This window comes from Homo sapiens, chromosome 3 (genome assembly GCF_000001405.40).
Source record: "Homo sapiens chromosome 3, GRCh38.p14 Primary Assembly".
NCBI lineage: Eukaryota > Metazoa > Chordata > Mammalia > Primates > Hominidae > Homo > Homo sapiens.
In genome coordinates, this window is record NC_000003.12 from 56,907,043 (window position 1) to 56,932,602 (window position 25,560).

Here is a 25,560-nt window from a genome sequence, read left to right on the forward strand (position 1 = left end):
ACAATCCCAGCTCACTGCAACCTCTGCCTCCTGGGTTCAAGTGATTCTCCTGCCTCAGCCTCCCAAATAGCTGGGATTACAGGCCTGCATCACCACGCCCAGCTAATTTTGTATTTTCAGTAGAGACAGGGTTTCACCATGTTAGCTAGGCTGGTCTCAATCTCCTGACCTCAGGTGATCCACCCGCCTCAGTCTCTTAAAGTGCTGAGATTACAGGCATGAGCCACGGCGCCTGGCCAACATTCTACTTCTATTGGACAACACTGCTCCAGAGGGCACAACGCTATGGAGGCCCGATTTTAGCATCTTTCTTTTTACATAGAAATAAATGCAGTTATTTGCTTATACACTGTTGGTGGGAGTGTAAACTAGTTCAACCATTATGGAAATCAGTGTGGCCATTCCTGAAAGACCTAAATAATAATAAAGACCTAAAAACAGAAATATCATTCAACCCAGCAATCCCATTACTGGGTATATACCCAAAGGGATATAAATCATTCTATCATAATGACACATGCACATGTATGTTCGTTGTAGCACTATTCACAATAGCAAAGACATGGAATCAACCTAGATGCCCATCAACGGTAGACTAAATAAAGAAAAAGTTGTACATATACACCATGGAATACTATGCAGCCATAAAAAGAATGAGATCATGTGTTTTGCAGGAACATGGATGAAGCTGGAGGCCATTATCCTTAGCAAACTAATGCAGGAACAGAAAACCAAATACTGTATGTTCTCACCTATAAGTGGGAGCTAAATGATGAGAACACATGGACACACAGAGGGGAACAACACACACTGGGGCCTATCAGAGGGTGGAGGGTGGGAGGACAGGGAGGATTGGGAAAAATAACTAATGGGTACTGGGCTTAATCCTTAGTGATGAAATAATCGATACAACAAACCCCCATGACAGAAGGTTACCTATAAAACAAACCTGCACATGTACCCCTGAACTTAAAAGAACAAAAGAAGTACAGTTATCATTGCTACAAAGAAAAAGAGCCTCCTTACCCTTCCCTGCCCCAGGCAGACAGGCTGGGCAACAAAAGGAGAAAGGGCTACAATGATCCTGATGACAAAGGATCAACCCTGCAACAAACCAGTACACTTCCCACCTGGGCAGCCACAGGCAGACACCAGTGACCCCGAGCGGGGACTGATTTCCTGATGGCTGTTAAAACAATGCACCAGAGAACAAAGTGCCTTCGAAACTAAGAATAGAAGAACAGCTCCAAATAAGATTTCCAGGACTCTGCAGGAACAAATTCCTCCCTTGCTCTGTCTGTAATCCACCTTCCACCCACAGCTTGACCAGCCTCAGCACAAATGTCCCCATCTCCGCGTCCGTATACACAGCTCTGGGCAAGAACTGAAGGACAGAGTGGAAAGGGGAGATCCAGAGAAAGAGGTGAGGTGACAAGCACTTTGCCCTAAGGGGCTCACACCATAATGGTTCTGCAGTTGAGATGTGGAATATGTTTCTCTCATCCATGTCTTTGGCTTCAGATACGAGGGACAAGACAACTCAGTTTTGCAACATGATCCATAAAACTGATACATCAGAATGGACCCTGTATTCTGAAAAGGTACTGAGGGAATGAGATCTAATTGTATCTGCTTGGGGGGAAATGTTAATTATAATCATAATATTATTATTATTAGCTGTATGCCTTTGGGTAAGGTTTATAATCCAGTCTTAGTTTTATAATCCAGAAAATAAAGGGGTTGGATGCTATGTGTGGTGATTTCTGAAAGACCTTAAAACAGAAATATCATTTGACCCAGCAATCCCATTACTGGGTATATACCCAAAGGAAGAGAAATTATTCTATCATAATGACACATGCACATGTATGTTCTATCTCATTCAGTTCAAAAATTCCCTGACGCTATGCACATGCAAACAAGGTATCATCAACACTATCATCTTTATTCTCTCACTCAGTTAGAAAACACTCATTGGGCAGCTAATACGAGTCAGACCCTGGACCTGACACTGGCATACAAATACAGAAAAACACCGCTTCGCTTCTGGAGTAATTTCTTAAGAGAGAGAAAGAAGGAGAAGGGAGAATGGATGGAGTGAAAAATTAGAGCAGAGTTCTTCACCAGGAGCCAGGGGACCACACAGACATTTTCATAACTATGTGCAGTTTTCTAAAGAGAATACTCAAAGATACACATGAACTCAGGAAGGCAGAGGGCTAGTGATGTAGTGAAACTATGAGAGGCCAAGTACCATGTTAAATTCTTAGTATGTGTGGGTGCTTGAAGAGTTTGTGCCCAAAACAGTCCACAAAGTGCGCATGGAAATATACACATAAGGGATTTGAACCTGTGCTTGGCTGGTGCAGAGCCTGCCTCTCTCCCCAGCATCAGGGATGGTTTCACGGCATGTGGCCTCTCCCTGCTGCCATGCCTCCATCAACTCTCCCTTTCTCATATCAGAAGATCACAAGCATTTAACAGCCTTGCACTTGTCTGACCCGAGCTTGCTGTATCTGCCCAAGAGGGCTGGGAAGATAAGATGAAACAATCCCTGTGAAATACTGATCACTAGTCAGCACTCAAGAGGTACCAGTACATCACCATTCATCACATATTCATTTAGGACCTAATACATGCCGGGCCTTGGGATAGGCGTTCTCATCACCTTCATCACTTACTGTTACTACGTTTAACACCCTCCACTCCCAGCAACATGCAGAGTGCTTCACACAATACACACTCAGTAAATGTGGGTTCAGTAAGTAAATGGTGATGATCTTGGTGGTAGATCAATTTATTCTTCAGCAAATATTTATGCCTTTCCCTGACATCCATGGCTTGATCCTGTGAGGTGAAAGAGACAGTGTACCAACTCTGAGCCTACATCTTACGAGACATCATGTGTTTCTGCTTGCTCCACAAGAGAAGAATATATACGTGAGTAGTACTGTCCAGAATGAACCCATGTAGGACAGACCACCCCAGCCAACTTGCGCACTTATAAGCATAAGAGTAAATGTTTGTTATTGTTTGCCACTGAGTTTCGGGGTAGCTGTTACTCAGCAAAAGCTGACTGAGACGATCTCCTTTACCCAACTCCAGAGGTTTCAGGCAGGGAGAGTGGCCCTGGCTTTTCTTACTTTTAAGATGGAGTTTCAGAAATTAGGTCACTTTGTGTGTGTCCCTCTCTCCCCCATTTTCTCTGGGCTGGTAATGTTCCATTCAAAGAAGATAGTGGGGACTCCAAAGACCCATATTTTGGCCACCTTGGCACCTGGCGCAGAATCCAGCACAAAGATGGTTCTCAGGCAGTGCCTGATTGATGGAAAGATGGGATGAGTACAGTCAAAATCACTAGAGGCAGCAAACTGGACCTCAGATGCTCAGAGCCACTGGTTCTGCAGTCCCCAAAGCATGTAAAGTGGACCCCACTGGTGATATAATATAATCTCAGACCATATGCAATAGACCTGTATATATTTATTATAATATGTTTTAGGAAACACATTTCCAACCTGTGATTTCAGGGCTATTACTGCTTAGGATGTGTCTAAGTCTAAAAAATAAACAAAAACAAACCAAAAAACCCAAACCTAAAAAGCCAAAAACAGAAACGAAAAAGAGATAATTTAAAGAAATACAGTAACTGAAAAATAATAGTACCGGTGGTATGTGGATATGAAAAATGTGAGTGAAATTTGGGAAACACTGATCTATTTCAAGTCTCTTTTTCCTAAAAATCACAATCATAATCATAGTGAGCATTTTTGAGCACTAACAAGATAAGCTGTTTGAAGCGCTTCACAGATATTATCTTATAAATTCCTGATACCCTATGAGGCAGGTACTATCAGCATCTTCATCCTGCAGGTGAAGAAACTGAGGCCCAGAGAGGTAAGGAACTTGAACAAGGTCACAGAGTAAGTGACAGTGAGGATTTGACTTCAGGCTGCAACCTCCAGGATCTCAGTCCTTGATGGCTACGTCTCCACTGGTTCTGCTTGGAGAACCTCGTACTGGGGAAGTTTAGCCTTGCCCAGGGTTAACTGCAAAATCCAGAACTTGATCCTCAGATTCCTGACTCCTAGCCCAGTGCTCTCGTCCCTCCACAAGGAATATGGTGGAGAGGACACCTGGGGTTTATGGCAGGGGCTGGGTGGGGTCTGTGAGAGGTAAAGGAGAGAGGTGGTAAGCACTGCAAGGAAGACTTGGAAGGGAGAGATGGGGAAATAAGGATCTGTCATGGGTTATTTCAAAGCTGCCAAGCTGAGGCAGGTGCCCAAAGAATGCAGGGAAGCTAGAATATGGACAGAGATATTCAGAAAAAGAGGGCTGGCAGAGCAAGGGTTGGCACACAGGAGCTGCTTCCCAAGAGAACTGCCCACCCCGGCCAGTATCAGGAATGAGTTTCCCTAAGTGACATCCACTTTGTCTATATTTAGGTCCTAAAGCCACCCATTGTTTCTGTCCCGGTGAACAGCTGGGGTCACCACTCTGACCTTGCCCGCTCCGAGTCACACGTCTGAGTGTTCCATCAAGAGAGGCCTTTTTAGGATCTAGTTTGAATCAACTTCCCCTTCCATGGCTCCTACTTGGCGTCCTGGGCAAGCTGTAAAAACATGGCTAGAATAGTGGCTTTAAAATGCAGTCTCCACCTTGCATCGAATATGCTGCTTCCTTCCCTCCACAAAATCAAACTACGTCCATGTTTACCTCAGGACATAGGTGCTTCAGAGTCCTGTTGTTGCTAAGCCCTTACACACTAAGGTCTGAGCTACTCCAGAGGCCGATGGGGGAGGATCACTTGAGCCCAAAAAGTGAAGGCTGCAGTGAGCTATGATCATGCCACTGCACTCCAGCCTGGGCGACAGAGCAAGACTGTCTCTAAAAGAAAAAAAAAATTACATATATATATACACACACATATATATATACACACATATATATATACATATATATGTTCATAAGCAGAATAAAGTAGCTAGTCAGCCAATTACATTTTGAGTTCTAGTTGATATCCTTGGGAAATGTGTACTTAAACACATTCATTAAATCATTCATTAAATCATTCATTAAATCATTTGACTTTGAAGTAGGGCAGATATGAAAACTATTTTTGACTTTTTGTGCAAGATATTTGCATACTTTAGATTCATATCTGAGCTAAAATGAGTTTAGAGACATCTCTGATTTGACAAGTGGGGAAACTGAGTCCAGAGAAAGTAGTGACTTGTCATAGGTGCCTCTTACTTAGGCACTAACTGGACCACAGCAAACATTCACCAAAATGGGATAACTTACCAAATCATTGGAAAGCAAAGTGTTACTGCAGATGTTGCACATAATAGGAGATCTGGGAAGGACCCCACATTAAAGTTATCACATAGCACCTAATGGCTAAAAACATCATTTCTGAATCCATTCTTCCTGGGTTTGAAACCTGATCCACTACTTAACCATGTAGGTGACCTAGACAAATTATTTATCTTCTGTAAATCTCAGTTTTGCCATCTGCAAAACAAGAATAATGATAGTAGCCAATCCCTACAGTGTTGTAAGACTTTCATGAGCAAATCTGAGTAAAGTGTTTAGATAAGCATCTAATAAATGTAAGTTATTATCGTATTATATTGTTATTAACATTGTATTAACTATCACTGACATGTAATCAATCATTTGAATATTGTCAACTTTCATACTTGAAAGACTCAAAAATTATTCTTTGTCAAGAGAACAAATAGTGAGGTGAGTGAGATGGGGAAAGGCTGAAATTACCCCAGTCACATCAAAGTATTAAAAATATACATCTGGGGGGCATGCAGTGGCCTGCGTCTATAATCCTAGCACTTTGGAAGGCCAAGGTGGGATGATCACTTAAGGCCAGGAGTTCAAGACGAGCCTGGGCAACATTGCAATACCTGGTCTTGACAAAAAAGTTAAAAAATTAGCTGGGTATGGTGGTGCATACCTGTAGTCCCAGCTACTCAGGAGGCTGAGGTGGGAAGACTGCTTGAGCCCAGGAGTTCAAGGCTGCAGTGAGCTATGATTGTGCCACTGCACTCGAGCCTGGGCTCGAGCAAGGCAGAGCAAGACCTTGTCTCCTAAAAAAAAAAACAACAACAACAACAAAAAAAACTATGTCTAAACAATGTCAACAAAACAAAGAGACAACACAAAGAATGGGATAATATATTTGCATATAATATATCTGAAAAGAGATTAATATTCAGAATATGTAGAGAACTCCTAAAACTCAATAGCAAAAAAAATAAGCAACCCAATTCGAAAGTGAGCAAAGGACTTGAACAGACATTTCTGCAAAGAAGACATACAAATGGCCAATAATGCACACGAAGAGATGCTCAACATCACTAATAATCAGAGAAATTCAAATCAAAACTACAAGGTGATACCACTTCACACCTATTAGAATGGCTACTATTGAAAAAAAATCAAAATTAGAAGTGTTGGTGAGGATGTGGAGAAACTGGAACCCTTGTGCACTGTAGGTGGGAATATAAAATGGAATAGCCATTGTGGAAAACAGTATGGCGGTTACTCAAAACATTCAAAATAGAATTACTGTATGTTCTAGCAATTCTACTTCTGGGTATATACTCAAAAAAACTGAAAGCAGGTGGCAGGAATGTAAACTAGTACAACTGCTATGGAAAACAGTGTGGAGACTCCTTAAAGAATTAAAAGTAGATCTACCATTTGATTCAGCAATCCCACTACTGGCTATCTACCCAGAGGAAAAGAAGTCATTATACGAAAAAGATACTTGCACATGCATGTTTATAGCAACACAATTCGCAACTGCAAAATCATGGAACACCCATCAATCGAGGAGTGGATAAATAAACCGTGGTATATTTATACAATGGAATACTACTCAGCCATAAAAAGGAATGAATTAACGGCATTGCAGCAACCTGGATGAGACTGGAGACTATTATTCTAAGTGAAGTAACTCAGGAATGGAAAACCAAACAACGTATGATCTCACTGATATGTGGGAGTTAAGCTATGAGGACGCAAAGGCATAAGAATGATATAATGGACTTTGGGGACTTGAGGGGAAGGGTGAGAGAGGAGTGAGGGATAAAAGACTACAAATAGGTTGCAGTGTATGCTGCTTGGATGATGGGTGCAACAAAATTTCACAAATCACTACCAAAGAACTTACTCATGTAACCAAATACTAGCTGTACTCTAATGACTTATGGGAAAAAAATTGAAAGCAGGGTCTTAAGAGATATTTGTACATTCATGTTCATAGCAGCATTATTCACAACAGCTAAAACATGAAAGCAACCCAAGGCCCATCCAAGGATGAATGGATAAGCAAAATGTGGTATGTCACCGTTTAACAATATTAATTGACAAGAAAAACTGTTTAATGTGGGGCATGCAGTAAACAGCTCTCAAATCTTTCAGCCTTGTAATACAGAGGGTAGTTTTCAATCACTATTAGAGGTAATAATGAAATGCAAAATATGTACTACATATAATCATGCAATAGTGTCGTATATTCACAGAGAAATTGAGTATTTGTTTCTCTGTTAACCTTCAGAGCTCCACGCAATATTACCACCATGTACAATAACGGAATATTCTTAAAGGAAGGGAATTCTGACACACGTTACAACTTGAATGAACCCAGAGGACATTATGCAAAGTGAAATAAGCCAGTCAAAAAAAGACAAATACTGTTTGACTCTACTTATATGAGATACTTAGAGTAATCAAAATCACAGAGACAGAAAGTAGAATGGTGGTTGCCAGGGGATGGGGGAGGGAAGAATGGAGAGTTATTGTTTAACGAGTATAGAGTTTCAGTTTGCAAGGTGAAAAGAGTTCTGGAGATGGATGGTGGTGATGGTTGCACAACATTATGAATGTATTTAATATCACAAAACTATATACTTAAAATAGTCAAGATGGTAAATTATGTGTTATATGTATTTTACCACAATAAAAAAAATTGAAAAAAAATTAGTATGTCTAGAATGGTCATACACAAGAGCTGGAATTAGGGTTACAGAAATCAGTCCCAGGAACATAGTTCTGATGAGAAGAATAGAAAAAGCAATGGGCATTGCCTTTAAAAAACAGTTTTGGCAGGCCAGGTGCAGTGGCTCATGCCTCTAACCCCAGCACTTTGGGAGGCTGAAGCTTGAGCTCAAGGAGGATTGCTTGAGCTCAGAGTTTAAGATGAGCCTGAGCAACATAGTAAGACCCACGTCTCCACAAAAAAAAATGAAATAATTAGCAGGGCATGGTGGTGTATGCCTGTAGTCCCAGCTACTCGGGAGGCTGAGGCAAGAGGACTGCTTGAGCCCGGGCGGTCAAGGTTGCAGTGAGCCGTGATTGTGCCACTATATTCCAGCGTGGATGACAGAGCAAGATTCTGTCTCAAAAAACAAAAACAAACAAACAAATAAAGAACAGTTTTGGCTCATCCAAAACTTTAACAACTACCTCTACAAAAAACAAATAAATAAAAGGGATAGGGAATGTAACCTTCAGAGCTCCTAACCATTCTTCAACCCATGGAAATATAACATTTCCAGACACTCTTTCCAAAATAACCCAAACCAAAAAACGATGTTCTTAATGAGAATGGTATCAAGTCTGAGTCTCCACTGATAATATCTGACTTCACTCTCCCAATAATAAACAGACTCAAAACACCAGGATCACTTTAGGGAAATCTACAAAACAGTTGCTCCAACCAGCATGAACTTCTAAAACTGAGTTTAGCCATCTTCCAATCCAAAGAAAAAGAGAAGATCTTGGAAATCCACTTTGTGATTAAATAGCAACAACAAAACAGAAGGCAGATGCATCCTTCTTTTCCCTCTTTTCCTTCCCATTAATTAAAACCATTCTCTTACAAAAATTAAAACAGTAGCATTGCACAGCAGAGCGTGAAAAGCCCTTCCCTTTGTTCCCCTCCAATCACTTATGCTAAAGGAGGCCCTGACAGCTATGCACGCCACTCAGCTCACCCTCGCAACCAAGCAAAGCCATCTGCGGTCTTAAACACAGCCACACAGTGCTCTTCTGATTCATACGAAAGTGAGGCGGGAATCTGGCTCCATCATCCCAGGTGCTTTTAACAGCAGCTCCCTGATCAGTTTCTTGGAAGGTAAAGAGAACACTGCATCCTCCCACACCTCAGATCCTGGCACCACCCCACCCGGCTCGGGTGGGAGTTGAGAGCCGGCCCATCCCAGGCTCAGCAGCAGGGGGCTTACCTGCGAACGGACAAAGAGGCAGCACCACACCATGGGGCGCTCTGACCTCATCCACCCGGACTCACCGGCTCCTAACTGCAGTGGAGCCCTGTGCACAGGATTCTCTGAACAGGGCTGAGCATAGTTTCCCTGAAGGAACTCCTCCCCGCCACTTGGGCTGCATGACAGGAAGTGACAGGGGCCATCAGTTACAAGTGTCAGAGGCTGAGAGCCGCACCAGTCAAGAGCTCCCCACCTCTCCTGCTACTGCTGCTTTTGCAGAGCACTCTTTGGGCATTCAAAGGTACACCAGAAGTTCAGTTTCTGACTGACAATCCCCAGCCTGTAAGAGACAAACAGTGCTCACTGGGTCCCCACCAAAAGCAATGTGAAGCATCCCATCGGCTGCAGCGGCTGTGCTGCCTGGAGCTTTGCAGACCCAAACACTGGGGTGAAATAGAAAATAAAGCATCACTAGGAGAAGGGACACTGGGAGGAGAGCTTTGGGTCTTCAAAGAGGAATCAATGATCTACTTGAACTTTACCCAAGAATCAGTAGCCCTGTCCGGGATACAGAGCCCACACTGAGTCGCGGTTCAAAAGCAACTACACACCCATCCGTTTCTTTTTGTCTTATGCAAACCTGGCATCTTCTCTTCAGAGCCCTTTCAAAATAGCTGCTTCTGGAAACCTCCCTTTCAACTTTTGTCATGGATAACAAGAGGTCTTCCTGCTCAGAGCTATTATGGAAATAATTCATGGCTGACATTTCTTGTTTTATGAAGTGGGGATCTCACCAGAATGAACATCTTGCTCCAGTTCCTTGCCTTATAAAAAACCCAGACCTCTTGGGTGAGGTAGACTTGTCTCATAGGAAACTACAAGGTTTCAGATTGAAAACTATGCCTGGCTCACTCCTTCCCCACAAACAAACCAGCACTCTCACCCTCCTTGCACATTGGCAGAAGGTCTCAAACTCAAGGAGACATAACTCCAGTGTAGTTCTCAATTATTTATTTATTTATTTTAGTTATCTAATGGGGTAGTATTTGACTTGCAAAAATCTTCCTAATTACAAATTTTAGCTGTTAAGATTTAGCCCAGGGTTTCCTGGGGCCTTCTTACAAATGCACGGATTTTTAAGAGCCTTCCTCTGTCTCAAGCCTGAGTAAAGTCTGGGGACCCAGCAAAGACAGCAGGTTCATTTGAACAACAAGCTTCCGGTCTAACAGAAGGAGATTAAATCCAAGACTTTTATGAGAAAGCAGGCTCTTTCCATTCACGTTGCCAGAAATTTGCAAAAAGTGCTGAGGGGTCCAGGAAATAAGTGAGCTTGGCAAATGCATTTTCATGGGGACAAAGTCTGAGAAGGGTTCTCAGAGCCAGAGACACATGGGCAGCGTTCTGATGGGTGTTCTAGGCAAAAGAACTGGCAAACTCAACAGCAAGGCAGTGCAGAACTACAGGGTATTTTGGAAGACACCAAGTACTTTAATAGGTCTGGAAGCTGAACTGACAGGCTTGGGTCTTGCTTCAAAAAGTGTGAGGGAATCACACCTGCTTAGAGAAAGGAGGAAGTGAAATCACTGTAAAAAGCCTTACGCCTTTCAGGCAAGCATCTGGGTCACCATGGAGCTAGCACCTGGAAGCACTCGGTAATGAGTGTCAGATCAAATGACAGTGTCCACTGAGAGGTGGGTTTCAGATTGTCCTTGGGATTCCCTATTTCCTAAAGCCTGACTCCCCACAAAGCAAGCTGGTTAAGTGGTGGCTGGTGGAGGGGTAAGGGCAGGTATTCCTAAGGCGTCTTGTTCCAGCCTCCTACACAGGAAGGGTCCTAAATTTGAACAAGCCTGTAAACAACTTGAGATTAGCTAGCTTTGGGGACAATTCAGCCGATGAAGAAAGACAGTGCCCTGGGAAATGCGGGAGGCTCCATCACCCAGCCATTCCTCTCTTGGAGTATTTTCTGACAAGCCACTTCAAGGAGTCCCAGCAGCCAAGGCCAGCCTCACCCCAGTAAGGATTCACTGGAAATGTGAGACGACCAGGGCATTGTACGTTTTATTTCTTTGGAGAGGAGGAAGGAAACATTCACATGAACAAATCCTAGAATGATTCAACCTAACTTCCGGCTGCTGACTGAATGGGAAAGAAGAACTGAAACCCGTGGGCTGCAGCACTTCGTGCAAGAGGTGAAACTTGAGGGGCTCCAGGGCAGGTAGCAGTGGAGCAGGGAGGGGCAGAGAGAGGGCCAACAGATGCCCTGGCAGGGGAAAGGGATGCAAGCCTGCAAAAAGGAAGCAAAAACAGGGCACGGCCGTCTCCTCTGATGCCCTTGCTCTGACCAGAAGCAAGAACTCCCGGATTGAAATGGGTCCATGAAGAAGGCACTTCAAGAGGAGAATTTCAATAGTAAGAGGCTCTGATCCGCAAGGTCCACGTTCATTTTGAGCTTTATAATGGGATATCAAAAGGAACAGGAGTCTTCTCTATGGCATCTAGGATACTACTAAGTATTCAAACATGTTTATGTATTGGTTTTTACATTTTAATAGTAACATAGCATCACTGTCACACATTCGAACCACACAGAAGTATACACATTCAAACCACAAAGAAGTATATAAAGTAAAAAGTGAGTCTTCCCAAAGGCCCTACTTTTTTTTCTATCCCGATCCCATTTGCTGGATGCACTGGTGTTAAAAAGCCAGACGTAGACAGAGGTTCATAAACCCAAAAGGATTTAGGAGCAGGGGTCAGGTACCTGAAAGAAAAGGCCAGGTGGGCACTGGGGCACCACTGAGAGTTTTTGTCTTAGGTCAGTTCCAGCTTTTCGGGTTCCTAAGGGGTTAATCATCCAGGGTGAGCAGACATTCTAATTTTTTCAATAGAAGCCTGAAATTCAGGGTTTTATGTAAAATCTCTCAATTTGTAAATGCTGGCAACTATTCATCACCATAAGAAGTACTGTATGGGCCACATAACACAGTTGCTGGCTACATTTGGCCCAGGGGCCACCAGTTTGCACCCTCTGGTGGTAATCCTTCCAGACATTTCCTTCTGTCTAAAAACACGAGTTGCTGGGTGTAACATCTTATTTTTTTCAAAAATAGAATGATAACATTGTTCTACCACTTGCTTCTTTTTTCATTTAACATCCAGGGCATCTTTCCCTGTCACGCACATTTTTGACCTCTTACTGCAGAGCATGCTATGGTATGGAAGGAAATTAACTCATTTAGCCACCTGCCCTGTGGACATTTAGCAAATACGAAAGATACACTTGAAATGTCACTTCTCATTGTCCATTCCTCTTACCTCTGCCAATGTTGATAACTCATGATGAAAGTGCACCTGTGTGTGGATATTAACATATCATACAGCCACAATTACTGAAACCACAGCGACTAAGGATTTTTTATGTTTTAATATGAGCACTTACCATGTATTTTCCCACGTGATCCTCACAACAGTCCCAAAGTAGGCCTTATTATTATCTTTCTTTTTGCAGATTTAAAAAAACTGAGACTCAAAAAGGTGGTGTACGCCTACCCATGGCACGTGGCCTAGAGGTGGTGAGGTTGGTCAGGAGTGGGGCCTAGCAAGCTTACTTCAGAGCTCCTGCTACAAGCATACAGCCCTCAGAAGACACAGCGAGAAACCTGCTCTGGGATATTCAAGAATCTGACATATTAGAGCACAAACCACTAGAGAAGGATCGCTAACAATGGGACAATTCACTTGCCTCTTGGAATGAAAAGCCTCATTTTAAAGCCCTTCTTCATACTCATCCAACATAAATTCTACATAGATTGGAGAGAAATGTTAAAAGGGGGAAAAAAACCTACAAAATTCTGGGGGCATAGGTTTTCAGGGTATGGTATTTTTCTTTCAGTATATAGAGTTGAATCATATATTTATACACAGGAAACTACCTATAGGGTGCCTACGATGCAAAGATGAACCCTGTTTTCCCACAGCTGGTTAAATAACCAAACTGGTAACAACCCCTCTTGTTGGGCTCTAAAGAGATTAGCACCAAAACTGGGACCTAACTAAGGTGTCACCAAAAGTGTCATGGTATCACTAGAACCAGAACCATGTTTCCTGTGTTCTTGTTCGATATATCTGAGGGTATTTTCTGTTGAGAAGTTCCAAGCAATTTCCTTACCAAAGATATTATAAGGAACATACTCGTCAGGGTTGTGAGAATTTCATTTACATAAAATAAAATATTTAGATTTTAGCAGAATTACTTCTTCATTAAAAGTTGGCAAGCAACGATGATTCTTTCCATTTGAACTTTATCCTGGTTCCTTAATGTCTTTCTTATTTGTACTTAACAAGCCAGAAATGTCACAAAATCTTACAGTTGGAAAGGGAATTTCAAGGTCTTTAAACATACCCCATTTGATACTTCAAATTTTAAAATTCCACAAACTGAATTTAAAAATAGGTAGTAAAAAAATCTCATGGCCAAGGCCGGGCACGATGGCTCATGCCTGTAATCCCAGCACTTTGGGAGGCCGAGGCGGGCAGATCACGAGGTCAGGAGATCAAGATCATCCTGGCTAACGTGGTGAAACCCTGTCTCTACTAAAAATACAAAAAAAAATTAGCCAGGCGTGGTGGCGGGCACCTGTAGTCCCAGCTACTCAGGAGGCTGAGGCAGGAGAATGATGTGAACCTGGGAGGCGGAGCTTGCAGTGAGCCGAGATTGCACCACTGCACTCCAGCCTGGGTGACAGAGCGAGACTCCATCTCAAAAAAAAAAAAAAAAAAAAAAACTCATGGGCCAGTGCAGTGGCTCACACCTGTAATCCCAGTGGTTAGGGAGGCAGAGACATGAGGATGGCTTGAGCCCGGGAGTTCAAGACCTGCCTGGACAACATGGTGAGACCCTATTCTCCATAAAAAGAAAAAAAAAAAGACCAAAAAAAAAAAGGTTGGAAAAAATCTCAAATGGGATGGTAGCCGTGACCAAATTAAAATAATATATTGCACACTGGCTTACCCAAGGTTCCAACATCATAAGATTATTAGTTCTCAGATCTTAGGTTTCTAAGACTGTTGTCAAATTTAGGTAAGACTAAGGAAAAACAAAAATTCAAAAACAAATTCAGGTAACACTAAGGAAAAACAAAATTTGGGTGTTACTAGGTTATCAGGGAGGCATAAAGCACAGCAAGCCAGTGAGAAATAAAAAGAATATCAAATTAGAGCCTGAGAGTTGCTCACAGTCATGCACTTTTATTGAATGTCTTTATCTACTCCTCAAAGCTGGAAGGGTGGTTAATCCAAGTAAAACCTGAACAATTCCTCTGCCTGCTTCACCATGAACTCTAGACAAATGGAGCAGCGGTGTCCAGACACTTTCCCAGGCCAAGGCCTATTGGACTCAAGGTGGTTCAACTCAAGAGACTGTGAACATTTGAAAATGTTGATGCTCTTGGAGAGCCCTGCTTAGTATCCCAGCTCAACAAGATTATAAAATGATGAGAAGAATGTGGGAGCAGACCTGGCTGCTCAAGGTCAAGAATGAATAAATAGAAAAGTCTTCATCTATGGTTTCAACACAGGAACTAAAAATAAATGATGCTGGAACATGGAAGTCTCAACGATTGCTAGTCATGGCTAATCTTGAGTGCTTATCTTACTGGTTTTGTTACAAGCAATCGCCTGAGCTCTGTCTTTATTCTCTCTAAACAAATCTGAACTTTTATAACCAGATTCCTCACATTATTTTGGCAACTGATACATGGGCAGCTATTTTTAAAAGTGAATGCAAAAAAAAAAAAGGAAAGCTGATGTATGCTGTGAAGCAGCCACCGGCCTGGCCGCTGCGGTTCTGCCTCCTTGACTAACACAAGAAGCAAGGGCCACCTGAAGAATTTCTGCATGAAGCACACAGGGGCCGCTTGCAAATAAGCTCATCCAGTTTATTTCTTAGAAACATAAACACCCTGGGTGCAGCTTTTTCAAGAAACTGTCAAGTCTCCTTCCTTACACTGTCAGTTAAAAGTGAAACTCCTGTCTGTGGGTTACTGACCTCTGCACAATTTTTAGGAAGAAAAAAAAGTTTAAAAACTGATTAGCTGATATCTATCAGCCAAAGGGCTTCCTTACTTGGAAATGAGACTTACTATTTGGCATTGCACTGTCAAAGTTGGTTGGAAGTGGAAAATCTGAATATGGGGGTGGGAGGGAGGGGTATTTCTGACACTTACATGAATACTCAGGAGGATTTTTAAAAGTAATCTGCCTAGATCAAAAAACAATGCTTGACACACCGAATTTCCAAGTTAAAAATATATAACAAAAGCAAGAATCATTCTTATTAAAAAGTTTCTCACCATTATTTTGACTTCAGATAACTCTTTAGGGATAATTTCTGGGAAAAACCATCTGGCTGGAATAGTTAACAATAAATTAATATTTGGGCTCTGTGATTTTTGGCTCTGCCATTTACTAGTTGAATGACCTGGTAAGTCACTCTTAATTTCCTTGATCTTTAGTTTCCTTATCTGTAAAACAGGAATGACTCCTTTATCCCTAGCAGGTTGCAGGGAGGATGGTAGGATACTAACTGACATATGTATTTAAAAGCAGAACAGCCTGGGTGCAGTGGCTCACGCCTGTAATCCCAACACTTTGGGAAGCGTAGGCGGAAGGATCAGCTGAGGTCAGGAGTTCAAGACCAGCTTGGCCAAAATGGCAAAACCCCATCTCTACTAAATATATATATATATATATATATATATATATATATATATATATATATATATAAATTAGTTGGGCATGGTGGCGTGTGCCTATAATACCAGCTACTCGGGAAGCTGGGACAGGAGAATCACTTGAACCCAGGAGGCAGAGGTTGCAGTGAGCCAAGATCGTGCCACTCCAGCCTGGGCAACAGAGCAAGACTCCGTCTCAAAAAAAGAAGCAGAACAATGGATGATGGGAACTTTGGGCCATCATACTATTGTTTCTATTTTTGTATAGGTTTTAATTTTTCCATAATAAAATATTTTTTAAAAGACAAAGGCACAGTAATAATTTATTTTTTTTCAAACAGAAGAGGAAATTTTTTGGTGTAACGATGGAAACTGGTTCAAATTTTCCTCCTAGCAAATTGAAAAGCAGTACCAAATCTGAAATCCAGAGTTTGATTTTTCTATCCTGATTTGACTGTCAACTGGGCATCTAAGAAAAAGGTAATAGAAACTAGCAGTTTCCCATTTCCCTTCTTCCTTCCAATAGAGAAAAAAAATGAGAGCATAGTTAAAACTTAAGTCATATTTATTTTTTTAATCTTACAATGCTGACTTCCCTGAAATCCCTGTATCCATCTAGAAAGTTCAAGACTTTTATGAAAATACCCCCAAGAAACCAAGAGATTTAAAAGCATGTGTGTCCCATGACTCAGAGTGTTCATTCTGCCTAAACACCAGTGAAAGTGGTTTTTTGTTTTGTTATGTTTTGGGTGTGTTCATGTGTACATGAAGAATTGGTATTGCCACTTTTTCTCCCTTAATTCAGAATCAGAAAGGAATCACCAAAACACTGGAAAATAGCAAACCAAATGAGACAGGTGGAAAGGGCTTCCAACTCTCACCCAAGGTAACTGGTCCTGGTTGGAAGCTCAGCACCTCCTCCCAGTTAGGGCTCTGCCCTGGAGGCTGTCCCTTTAAGTCAGACTTCCTGGTAAGGCTGAGAGATTTCCGCATGCAGCTTCCTGGAGACCGTATAAGATAAACAATAAACTTTGCAACAAAATCATGGACAATAAGCCCCACGTGGCTGTAACAAGAAGCAATTATAAGCATTGACAATGGCTAGGGCATTTCCAACAGGAATGCAAGTCTGTGATAAACAGGGGAGAAACATGCTACCCCACACCTGCACAAACTAAATGATGTGTAAAAAATAGTTCCTAGCCTCTCATCACATTGAGAACTAGTTGCTTCCAAATTCAGCACTCTTTTTAAAAAAATCATTGTCTAAGAGGAAAGCAGTCAGGCCTTTCTTAAAGCACCACTGCCTATTAGATGAAAGCTGCTGAGGCCCAGCGACACTACGTGTTCCTTACTCCATGAGTCTCTGTGTTACAGGAAAGGGGTCCTGATCCAGACCCCAAGATAGGGTTCTGGGATCTCATGCAAGAAAGAATTCAGGGCAAGTCCAGAGAGTAAAGTGAAAGCAAGTTTATTAGGAAAGTAAAGGAATAAAAGAATGGCTACTCCATAGACGGTTGCCCATTTTTACAGTTATTTCTTGATTATATGTTAAACAAGAGGTGGATGATTCATGCCTCCCCTTTATAGAACATATAGGGTAACTTCCTGACGTTGCCAAGGCGTTTGTAAACTGTCATGGCACTGGTGGGAGTGTAGCAGTGAGAATGACCAGAGGTCACTCTCGTTGCCATCTTGGTTTTGGTGGGATTTAGCCAGATTCTTTACTGCAACCTGTTTTATCAGCAAGGTCTTTATGACCTGTATCTTGTGCTGACCTCCTATCTCATCTTGTGACTTAGAATGCCTTAACTGTCTGGGAATGCAGCCCAGTAGGTCTCAGCCTCATGCTACCCAGCTCCTATTCAAGATGGAGTTGCTCTTGTTCACATGCCTCTGACATAAGGGTCACCCTTTGAGTCTCCTGCAGCTGAACCCCCTACCTGGCTAGCTTTGGGGAATTCCCCAACTCAGGAACCAGAGCCCACATTCTACCAGAGGAGATGAGAGTGCCATACACTTGCTTCCCAGCCTCCCTTGCAGCCACAGCATGAGAACATGAGCAGGCTCAGCCAATCATGTGCTGGGATGCAAAGCGGCAGGGCCGCTGCAGACCCCATTCTGCGAGGGTGGTGGCAGCTTGCAGAGGCAGAGTAAGGGTAGACTGGGTAGCCACAGCCTACAACCAGCATTGGTGGTGCAAGCCATGGCGTCTACACCTACCCAGCAGTGGTAGCAATAGTGTCTTTACAATAACTGTTTGGTGGTATAATTTGGAGTTGTCCCTGTTTCCCTGGTCCTTCCGAAATTCTCTGAGCTACCCTAGACACTGTAATAAATTCATTTTCTGCTTAACTCAGCTGTGTCATCACTCAAGTTCAGCTCACAGGAGGCTTCCCTGACCAGGCTGTCTATAGGACCATGCCTTATACCCCACCATCGTTATTCTCTATCATGATACCCTACTGATTTCCTTCCCACTACTTATCACATCCTGTAACCAATCCACTTCATTATTAACAACAATACGAACCACCATTGACTGGGGGCTTGCTATGTGTCAGATGGTAGGCTAAGCTAATTTAATTCTATGACCACCCTATGAGATAAGTACTTTTATTATCCCTAGTTTATAGATGAGGAAAGAGGCTCAGAAGGGTTAAAAAAAGTTGTCCAATGTGCCAAGCTTGGCAGTAATGGAATAAGGACTGGAGTCTAGGCCTGCAGCACAGGTTCTTACCACAATACTCATTCAGGCAGTGACTGAATACACACTGGCCACAGTGCAGGCACCAAAGCCACAGGACAGCCTGGCTCTCATGGAGCCTGGAGGCTGGTGGTCCAATCTCCCACCTGGTATTCTACCCATCACCCAAAAACCCTTCTTGGGGAAGAAATGCAGACTGACATGTGTAAAGATGAGACCAGCTTCCTTTGTTCAACAGAAATGTGCCCAGCTCTGTGTTCAAAGCATCAGGCATGCAAAAATACCTCAGAAGCTCACAGGCCAGAGGAGACGCAGACCTGTACACAATGCTCACTGCTCAACCTGCTGGTTCCCACAGCCTCGAAGCACTAGGCTGCAGAGGAAGAAGCCAGGGACCATTCTCAGGGTCTCCCCAATGACAGTGCCATTCCAGCTGGTTGTCAGTGATGTATAGGAGTTGCCAGGCTGAGGAGAGGGGGGTCAGCGCAAAGGTGAGAAGTGGGAACAGCAAAGTTCATTCAGGAGGCGAGGAGACAGTCAAGGGGTCTATGGAAGGGACAGGATGCGAAGGCCAGGGATGAGATGCTTGGAGCCAAGGAAGGAGTTCCAACTCCACCCTGCAGGAAATGGGGAACCAGGGCAAGTTTCTCAGCCAGAACAGCTGCATGACCAGATAGAAATTCTTTTTGTCAAGAACAGTGGCCATGGCCATAGAATACAGTACTAGTCAGATGCTTTTCCTATGTATTTTTAAAGTACACAAACATAAATATATTTGCTGAAAGCCAGGAATTGTAATAACAAGAAGTTCCATTTCTATGCTTTCCAACTCCCTCTCCTGGCTGAGTAAGAAGTGAAATAAGTCTGCCCTTCCAACAGAAGGAGTTAAACACAGCCATTCCCTCCTGTAATGTGAAATTACACAGAGCTCTCACATGGATAATTTATGGAGAAAACAAGGAATTCCCCAGCTACTTGATTTTACAACTCCAATCACCCAGATTCCCCCAGTGTGATAACAAGAACCTCACCTCTGGGTTGTGTCATCATTAAAATGAAAAGCTGATTTTTATTTTTTAAAAGAATGTGTGTGGTTGAGCCACAAAGAGCCTCCTGGGTTGGATGAATACCCCGGGAGGGGTGGGAGGAGTCCCCAGAATGACCCTTTGAGGCTGAGAGGGACTCATACTTAGTAACAGGCCCCAGGGAATGCTGTGTTAAGTGTGCAGCCCCAGAGGTCTGGAAATGCCAAGCCAGCCGGGGTGGTGAGGGCATAGCAACCAGAACACAGACCAGAAATAAAGGAAGGCAGTTTAGCACAGAAGTGAGGAATAGGAGTTCTAAGCCAGATAACCTGGGTTCAAATCCCAGTGCTGTCACTTAATGCGTGACCCCTGATCATTTACTTAACTTCCCTGTGCCTCTGTTTCCTCCTCTGGTAAATGGGAACAGTAAGAGGACCCACTGCAAAAAGTTCTTGTGAGAATCAAATAAGTCAAATATGTATCATTGAGCATAGTGCCTGGCACATAGTAAGTAACAATTGCAGTTTCCTAGAGACTATAAGATAAACAAGTAATTTTGCAGCAACATGACGGATAATAAGCCCCCATGTGGCACAACAAAAAGCAATTATAAGTGCTGACAATGGCTAGGGCATTTCCAATAGCAATGCAAATCTGTGTAAATAGCTGTTGCTGATACTACATATAATAATCTTATATAAAAGTATAATATATAACATAAACTTATATTTTAAATATACGATATGTAACATTATATAATATGGTAATAGTGATTTTATTATGATCTGCTTTAACCCAATTTAACAAAGAATTTTTCAACAAAAATGAGGGGTCTGAGGAGGGGAGCCCCAGGATCAGGCACCTAAAGTGTGTTTGTGCAGTATTTCCAACCACCTGGAGGTTCAATGTCAGGGATACCTACCATGGACCACAGAGCCAATCTGCTAGGCCAGAGTCCAGGTGGTACCGCATATGAGCTGCAGAGTTGGGAAAGTCATTTGACCCATAAAAAACAAACAAACAAACAAACAAAAACCTTGATTTCCTCATCTCTGCAAAGGGGATAACAATAGTACTGCCTTCACAGTTTGTGTCAAGCACTGGTGCTCAATTTTACATTTGTTTTTACATAAATATTTCTAACAACCTGTGAATCAAAAATGATTATGATGTCTATTTTATGAATGAGAAAACCTGAGGTTCAGAGACGTTAAGCAATTGCCAGACAGCACACAGCTAGATTGACATGCAGGAAATCTACCCCAAGCCAGCACTCTAAGCCAGCCCTCAATTCTGCAGACACATGCAGCATGAGAAGGATGCACCAAAGCTCTTCAGAGCAGGAGAGTATTAACCAACATGTGTGCTGGAATCACCCTTTAAGAAGGGCACGTGTTTCCCCACTGCAGACCCCAAAGCTTATGGCACCTGTAGGCAGTGAAAAGAAACTCCCCCTTGTTGAGCATCTACTATATACCAGGCACCATGTTGAGTGTCCTGCCACATCATTGCCACCTTATCACCACAGCAACCCTCTGAAGCAAGGACTAGAAGACATTGAGGCTCAGCGAGGTTGGGTTCCTGGCCCATGGTCACAGAGCTTTTCAGTGGCAGCATCCCTACACACATCTGGGTCCGTTCTGCTCCCACTCAGGCTTGCAGACAGGCTCTGAAAACACTCCTTAATGTCCCTTAGGTGCTCCTCTCCCCCTCATTACCTCCCACTTTGAAAGCACAAAGCTGCTTATTTTGCAGCAGGAAAATGACCATGGGGGCTGAGTAGGGCCATGGTGCAAACTACAATTACTGCAGACAACAATTTGCATTCCAGATCTGAAATGTGCTCAGGGCTCCACTTGAGCCCTGTAATCAGCTTAGCCTTTGCCCAAATCTCTCTTGAAATGAAGACATATTAGATGAACTGAGACACAGCAGGGTTTGGAAAATGTGCCTCTGCCCCCCAGTGAACTGCCACCTAAGGAAAAACTGTGCCAAGAAACAGCCAGGGTTGAGTGGGATTTAAGCCCCAGAGAGGTTGAATTCCTCTGCTGCAGAACAAAGAAAACAGCAGCCAGGACAGTAGACAGGCAGGGCCACATGGGTAAAGAATCAAAGGCAGGAAATGCATTACATAACACACGGGCCTCAGTGAGGAGGTGGAATGGCCACCCTTCCCTCCTTATCAGAAATTGCTGTCTTGCCTATGAGTCACATGTCAGGATATAGCGACCTTGCTGCACAGGACAATAAAGGACACCCACAAGGTCAGCAAAAGGCCTACTATGTGCACACTGTGAGAAAAGGGGCATCCTCTGCATTAAAGAGAGACCTCCAGGAGGGCCTATCTAGGACAAAAAGGCTGCAATTTGGGTCCTCTGGATTGGGGAAGAAGGGTCTAGAAAGGAGAGTGAGAGTGGGGGATACCAGAGTTTTTAACCCTGACTGTGGCCTCTTCTACTCATTCTGAACTACAGAAGGATTTGCACTAATTATTTCAGTCCCAAGTGGCTAGAGTCATGGCTCCTGGTTAACTGAAATTTATCACAGCCCAACTTTCTTCTGCTACAGAAAGAAGGGACGGTTTACATGCCAATTTCCATCACCCCAAATCCTGACTAAAGAGCTTCACATGAAATCTCTACTGAGTCGACAGTATCTGCAACCTGAATCTAGACCACCCTAAAAATCGGAATGTTTCTCAAACTTTAATGTGCCCACACATCACCTGGGGATCTCAATGAAATGCAGCTACTGCTTCAGGTCTTGGGTGGAGCCTGAAATTCTGCATATCTAATATGCTTCCGGGTTCTGTTGCCACTAATGTCCCATGGACCACACTTTGAGAACCTTACTAGGGGACATGGAATGACTTAAGCAGAACTCCCCAAAATGTATTTCCTATGTTTCCATAGTCACGGTGACAAGTGGTGACTTCATTCTAAGAGCAAATAAGTAAACTCAAACACTATGTATCTTTAAAATTATTGTTTCCAGGCTCAAAACTTCAGCACTTCTATGTTATTTTATTAGTAGCTAACAGGATGACTGTTCTTGAAGGAAAGCCTTGTGTAGATGCTATTAACTGAGGAAAATCCAGTAGAGCTTCCCTTGGCTGATGTTTCCGGAATAGCCCTAGATCCTCTGAGGTATAAAAAACCTGAAGCCCCAAAGGACAATGCAACTGACAATGCTTTTGCCAGTGCTCTCCCTCACCGATGACCCTCTCCCACTCTTGGGTGGCCAGCCCATTGCAGTGCAGCCACATTCCTGAGTCTGGGTCAACTACCAGCCCCCCCCTCCCACCAGCTGTGGCTGGGATCCTCTTCAGGAGGTCCTCATCAGTCACAGTTGCACCTTCCCAATCTGACAGGTACCTTAATAAAACCATTCATCTAATCCAAAGCATTTTTTTTAATGGCTGGAGTTGGCTGTCCTGTCCCGTTATGCAAACAGTACACAATGAGATGCCGATAGCATCTCTCTACCATTGCCAACACAAACCCTGCCAGGCCAGCAGAAACGAACCCGGTGGCTGTAAGCAACAATAGTTGCATGAGTTTGTTTAAACAAACACAACTAACAACAGGTGAAAATGTTTTGAACTCCTCCTATTGCTAAACCAGAGACTTTTAAGGTTGGTTTCTTCTAGAAATAAAACCAGCGTCAAGCATAAGGAATGAAAGGCAGCTGAAGGGAAACCACCCAGAAAGCAAACTTCGTGTTTCTTCCAGCAACACACACAGAGGCACAGATTTTGGGATAGATTTTTGACGAGAACTACCGATGTTGAATTAATTGAGATACTTGCATTGTCTTTGCCTCAAAGTAAGGATTCTTTCCTAATCTTGTTCACTGCATTTTTTTGACTTTTGCTCTTTGAGTTTGGTAGTGGAAATATTTCTTAATATATTAAAGAAGTTCAGTGCCACTAAATAACATAAAGCAAAAGGAACTTTAGTCTTTAAACCAAAACCCTAAAATATATTTTTTAAATGCATGTAGTAAGTGAAGGGAAATGGGCATTTATTGAGGTAGGGAGATGATGTTCAATACCACGCTCCATGGAGGGCATTTGACAAAGCACATCAGAATGACTAATGAAACCAGATGGGTAAGTCATTTCCTGAGCAACAGGTATCAGGAGAAAAGAAAGAGCGAATCGAGGACAAGTATTTTAGTGGCACATATGCTGCGCCTCTTAGTCACTCTGGATAATGAGATGAGTATATTTTTAAAAGAAGAAAAAAATGACATGACATCAAGACTGGAAGAATAAGGCAGCAGGAGGCTTTATTATGTTTCAAGAACAGCAAATCCGATCCATTTGTACCAATTCTGTAGACCTGAAAAACCTATTCCAGTCTAAACCTCAAGGCTTTTCCCTCCTTGAGAAGTTTGAGAAATTGCTGATGAACTTCCTAATGCCTGGCAGAGGTTCTTCTTAAGAAAAAACACATTAGACTATAATTACACAAGTTCCGTGATGGGAAACATACTGTTGGGTGGAAGTTATTTTTTAAAAGCCACATATCTTTTTGGCCAGGTGCAGTGGCTCACGCTTGTAATCCTAGCACTTTGGGAGGCCGAGACAGGCAGATCACTTAAGCCCAAGAGTTCAAGACTGTCTTGGGCAACATGGCAAAACCCTGTCTCTACAGAAAATACAAAGATTAGCCAGGCATGGTGGCATGTGCCTGCAGTCCCAGCTACTAGGGAGGCTGAGGTGGGAGGATCACCTGAGCCCAGGAGGTCAAGGCTGCAGTGAGCCATGATCGTGCTACTGCACTCCAGCCTGGGTGACAGAGTGAGATCCTGTCTCAAAAAAAAAAAAAAAAAAAAAAAAAAAGCCACATATCTTTTTCCTAAAAAAACCAAATTTGCAATCTGTAGTTATCTGAGTTTCATAATTAAATTAAGGGGAATACACAGGCTGCCATATTAGGTATTTTTCTCTGATTTTTCCAAAGTGATATTCCAAAGTACTGTCCCAAGCAAGCACTCAGAACTCATAAAAATAATGTGCCCAACACAGAGAGGCACCACCATTCAGCTACCTATTAATTCCTTGGAATATGAATCTTTTGGTCCAGGATGATTGCTTTAGAGCCATGATTTTTTTCTTGGCTGAGTACACAGTATCCATTCTTATCAAGGTGCTTTCCTCCCCTCTCAAATATCCAAGTAAGATTTATGGGGTTTTTTTGTTGTTGTTGTTGCTGTTAGAAAAAGAAGACAAAATTCCTCCAAGTTCACTTTTACCAAGTTCTCACATTTGAAACTCCTCCACAAACATATGTGATGCCATATTTTAAAATTCCATCTTAAGTAAGCATGGGATTTAGTCCAATTCATTGCATTTCTGACTTAGATTCATTTCTGTTGCCTGTTGGGGAGGATTTTTATTCTTAAACCTTAAAACCTAAGACTCCACTCAAAATTGCCATTCAAATATTTGTCTTATGACTTCAGCTTTTTGTTCCCTCAAATATAAAATTAATACATGCACCCCATAGAAACGTACGAAAGTCAAAACAAAACAAAAAAAAGTCATGTATAACCTCACTTCCCAAAAGGAAACCATTATTAATATTTCAGCGTATTTTCTTTTAATCCTCTCAAGTGCTTTTTTTCATAGCCCAAATTGTACTGTATATACAATTTTGTTTCCTGCTTCTTAAAACATACCAATAAACATTTTCCCTGAATTAAAACTCTTCCTCAACCTCCCCTTGTCACTTACAACTCATATGAACAAAACCACACTTTACACCAACTGCCTCACATTAGTGGGCATTCACACTTTTTCCACTTTTTTCTGTCATTGTAACTGCTGCAGCACTAAACAT

General features: G+C 42.6%; 1 protein-coding gene across 16 annotated transcripts in view, besides 5 other annotated features; it reads right to left on the bottom strand.

Annotated features, from left to right (window-relative positions):
- Window positions 1-25,560, bottom strand: part of ARHGEF3 (Rho guanine nucleotide exchange factor 3) — a 351,849-nt gene that overhangs the window by 179,623 nt on the left and 146,666 nt on the right. For 2 of the 16 annotated variants that reach the window (XM_047448227.1, NM_001289698.2), the window contains exon 1: window positions 9,267-9,394. The exons of the other annotated variants lie outside the window; for them this stretch is intronic. In XM_047448227.1, the coding sequence (XP_047304183.1) occupies window positions 9,267-9,317 (51 nt within the window). In that variant the 5' untranslated portion in view covers window positions 9,318-9,394. Of the gene's footprint in view, window positions 1-9,266; window positions 9,395-25,560 lie in introns of those variants that run through there. 16 annotated transcript variants of the gene reach the window in all.
- Window positions 8,740-9,292: an enhancer, noted in NCBI's record as "H3K4me1 hESC enhancer chr3:56949810-56950362 (GRCh37/hg19 assembly coordinates)". NCBI's record gives its function as "activates a minimal SCP1, AML or CMV promoter by ChIP-STARR-seq in naive H9 embryonic stem cells {active_cell/tissue: H9 hESC(naive)}" and the evidence as "EXISTENCE:reporter gene assay evidence [ECO:0000049][PMID:30033119]".
- Window positions 8,890-8,959: a silencer, noted in NCBI's record as "silent region_14475". NCBI's record gives its function as "represses an Ori minimal core promoter by ATAC-STARR-seq in GM12878 lymphoblastoid cells {active_cell/tissue: GM12878}" and the evidence as "EXISTENCE:reporter gene assay evidence [ECO:0000049][PMID:35858748]".
- Window positions 9,293-9,843: an enhancer, noted in NCBI's record as "H3K4me1 hESC enhancer chr3:56950363-56950913 (GRCh37/hg19 assembly coordinates)". NCBI's record gives its function as "activates a minimal SCP1, AML or CMV promoter by ChIP-STARR-seq in naive H9 embryonic stem cells {active_cell/tissue: H9 hESC(naive)}" and the evidence as "EXISTENCE:reporter gene assay evidence [ECO:0000049][PMID:30033119]".
- Window positions 9,293-9,859: a biological region, named in NCBI's record as "H3K4me1 hESC enhancer GRCh37_chr3:56950363-56950913".
- Window positions 9,770-9,859: an enhancer, noted in NCBI's record as "active region_19984". NCBI's record gives its function as "activates an Ori minimal core promoter by ATAC-STARR-seq in GM12878 lymphoblastoid cells {active_cell/tissue: GM12878}" and the evidence as "EXISTENCE:reporter gene assay evidence [ECO:0000049][PMID:35858748]".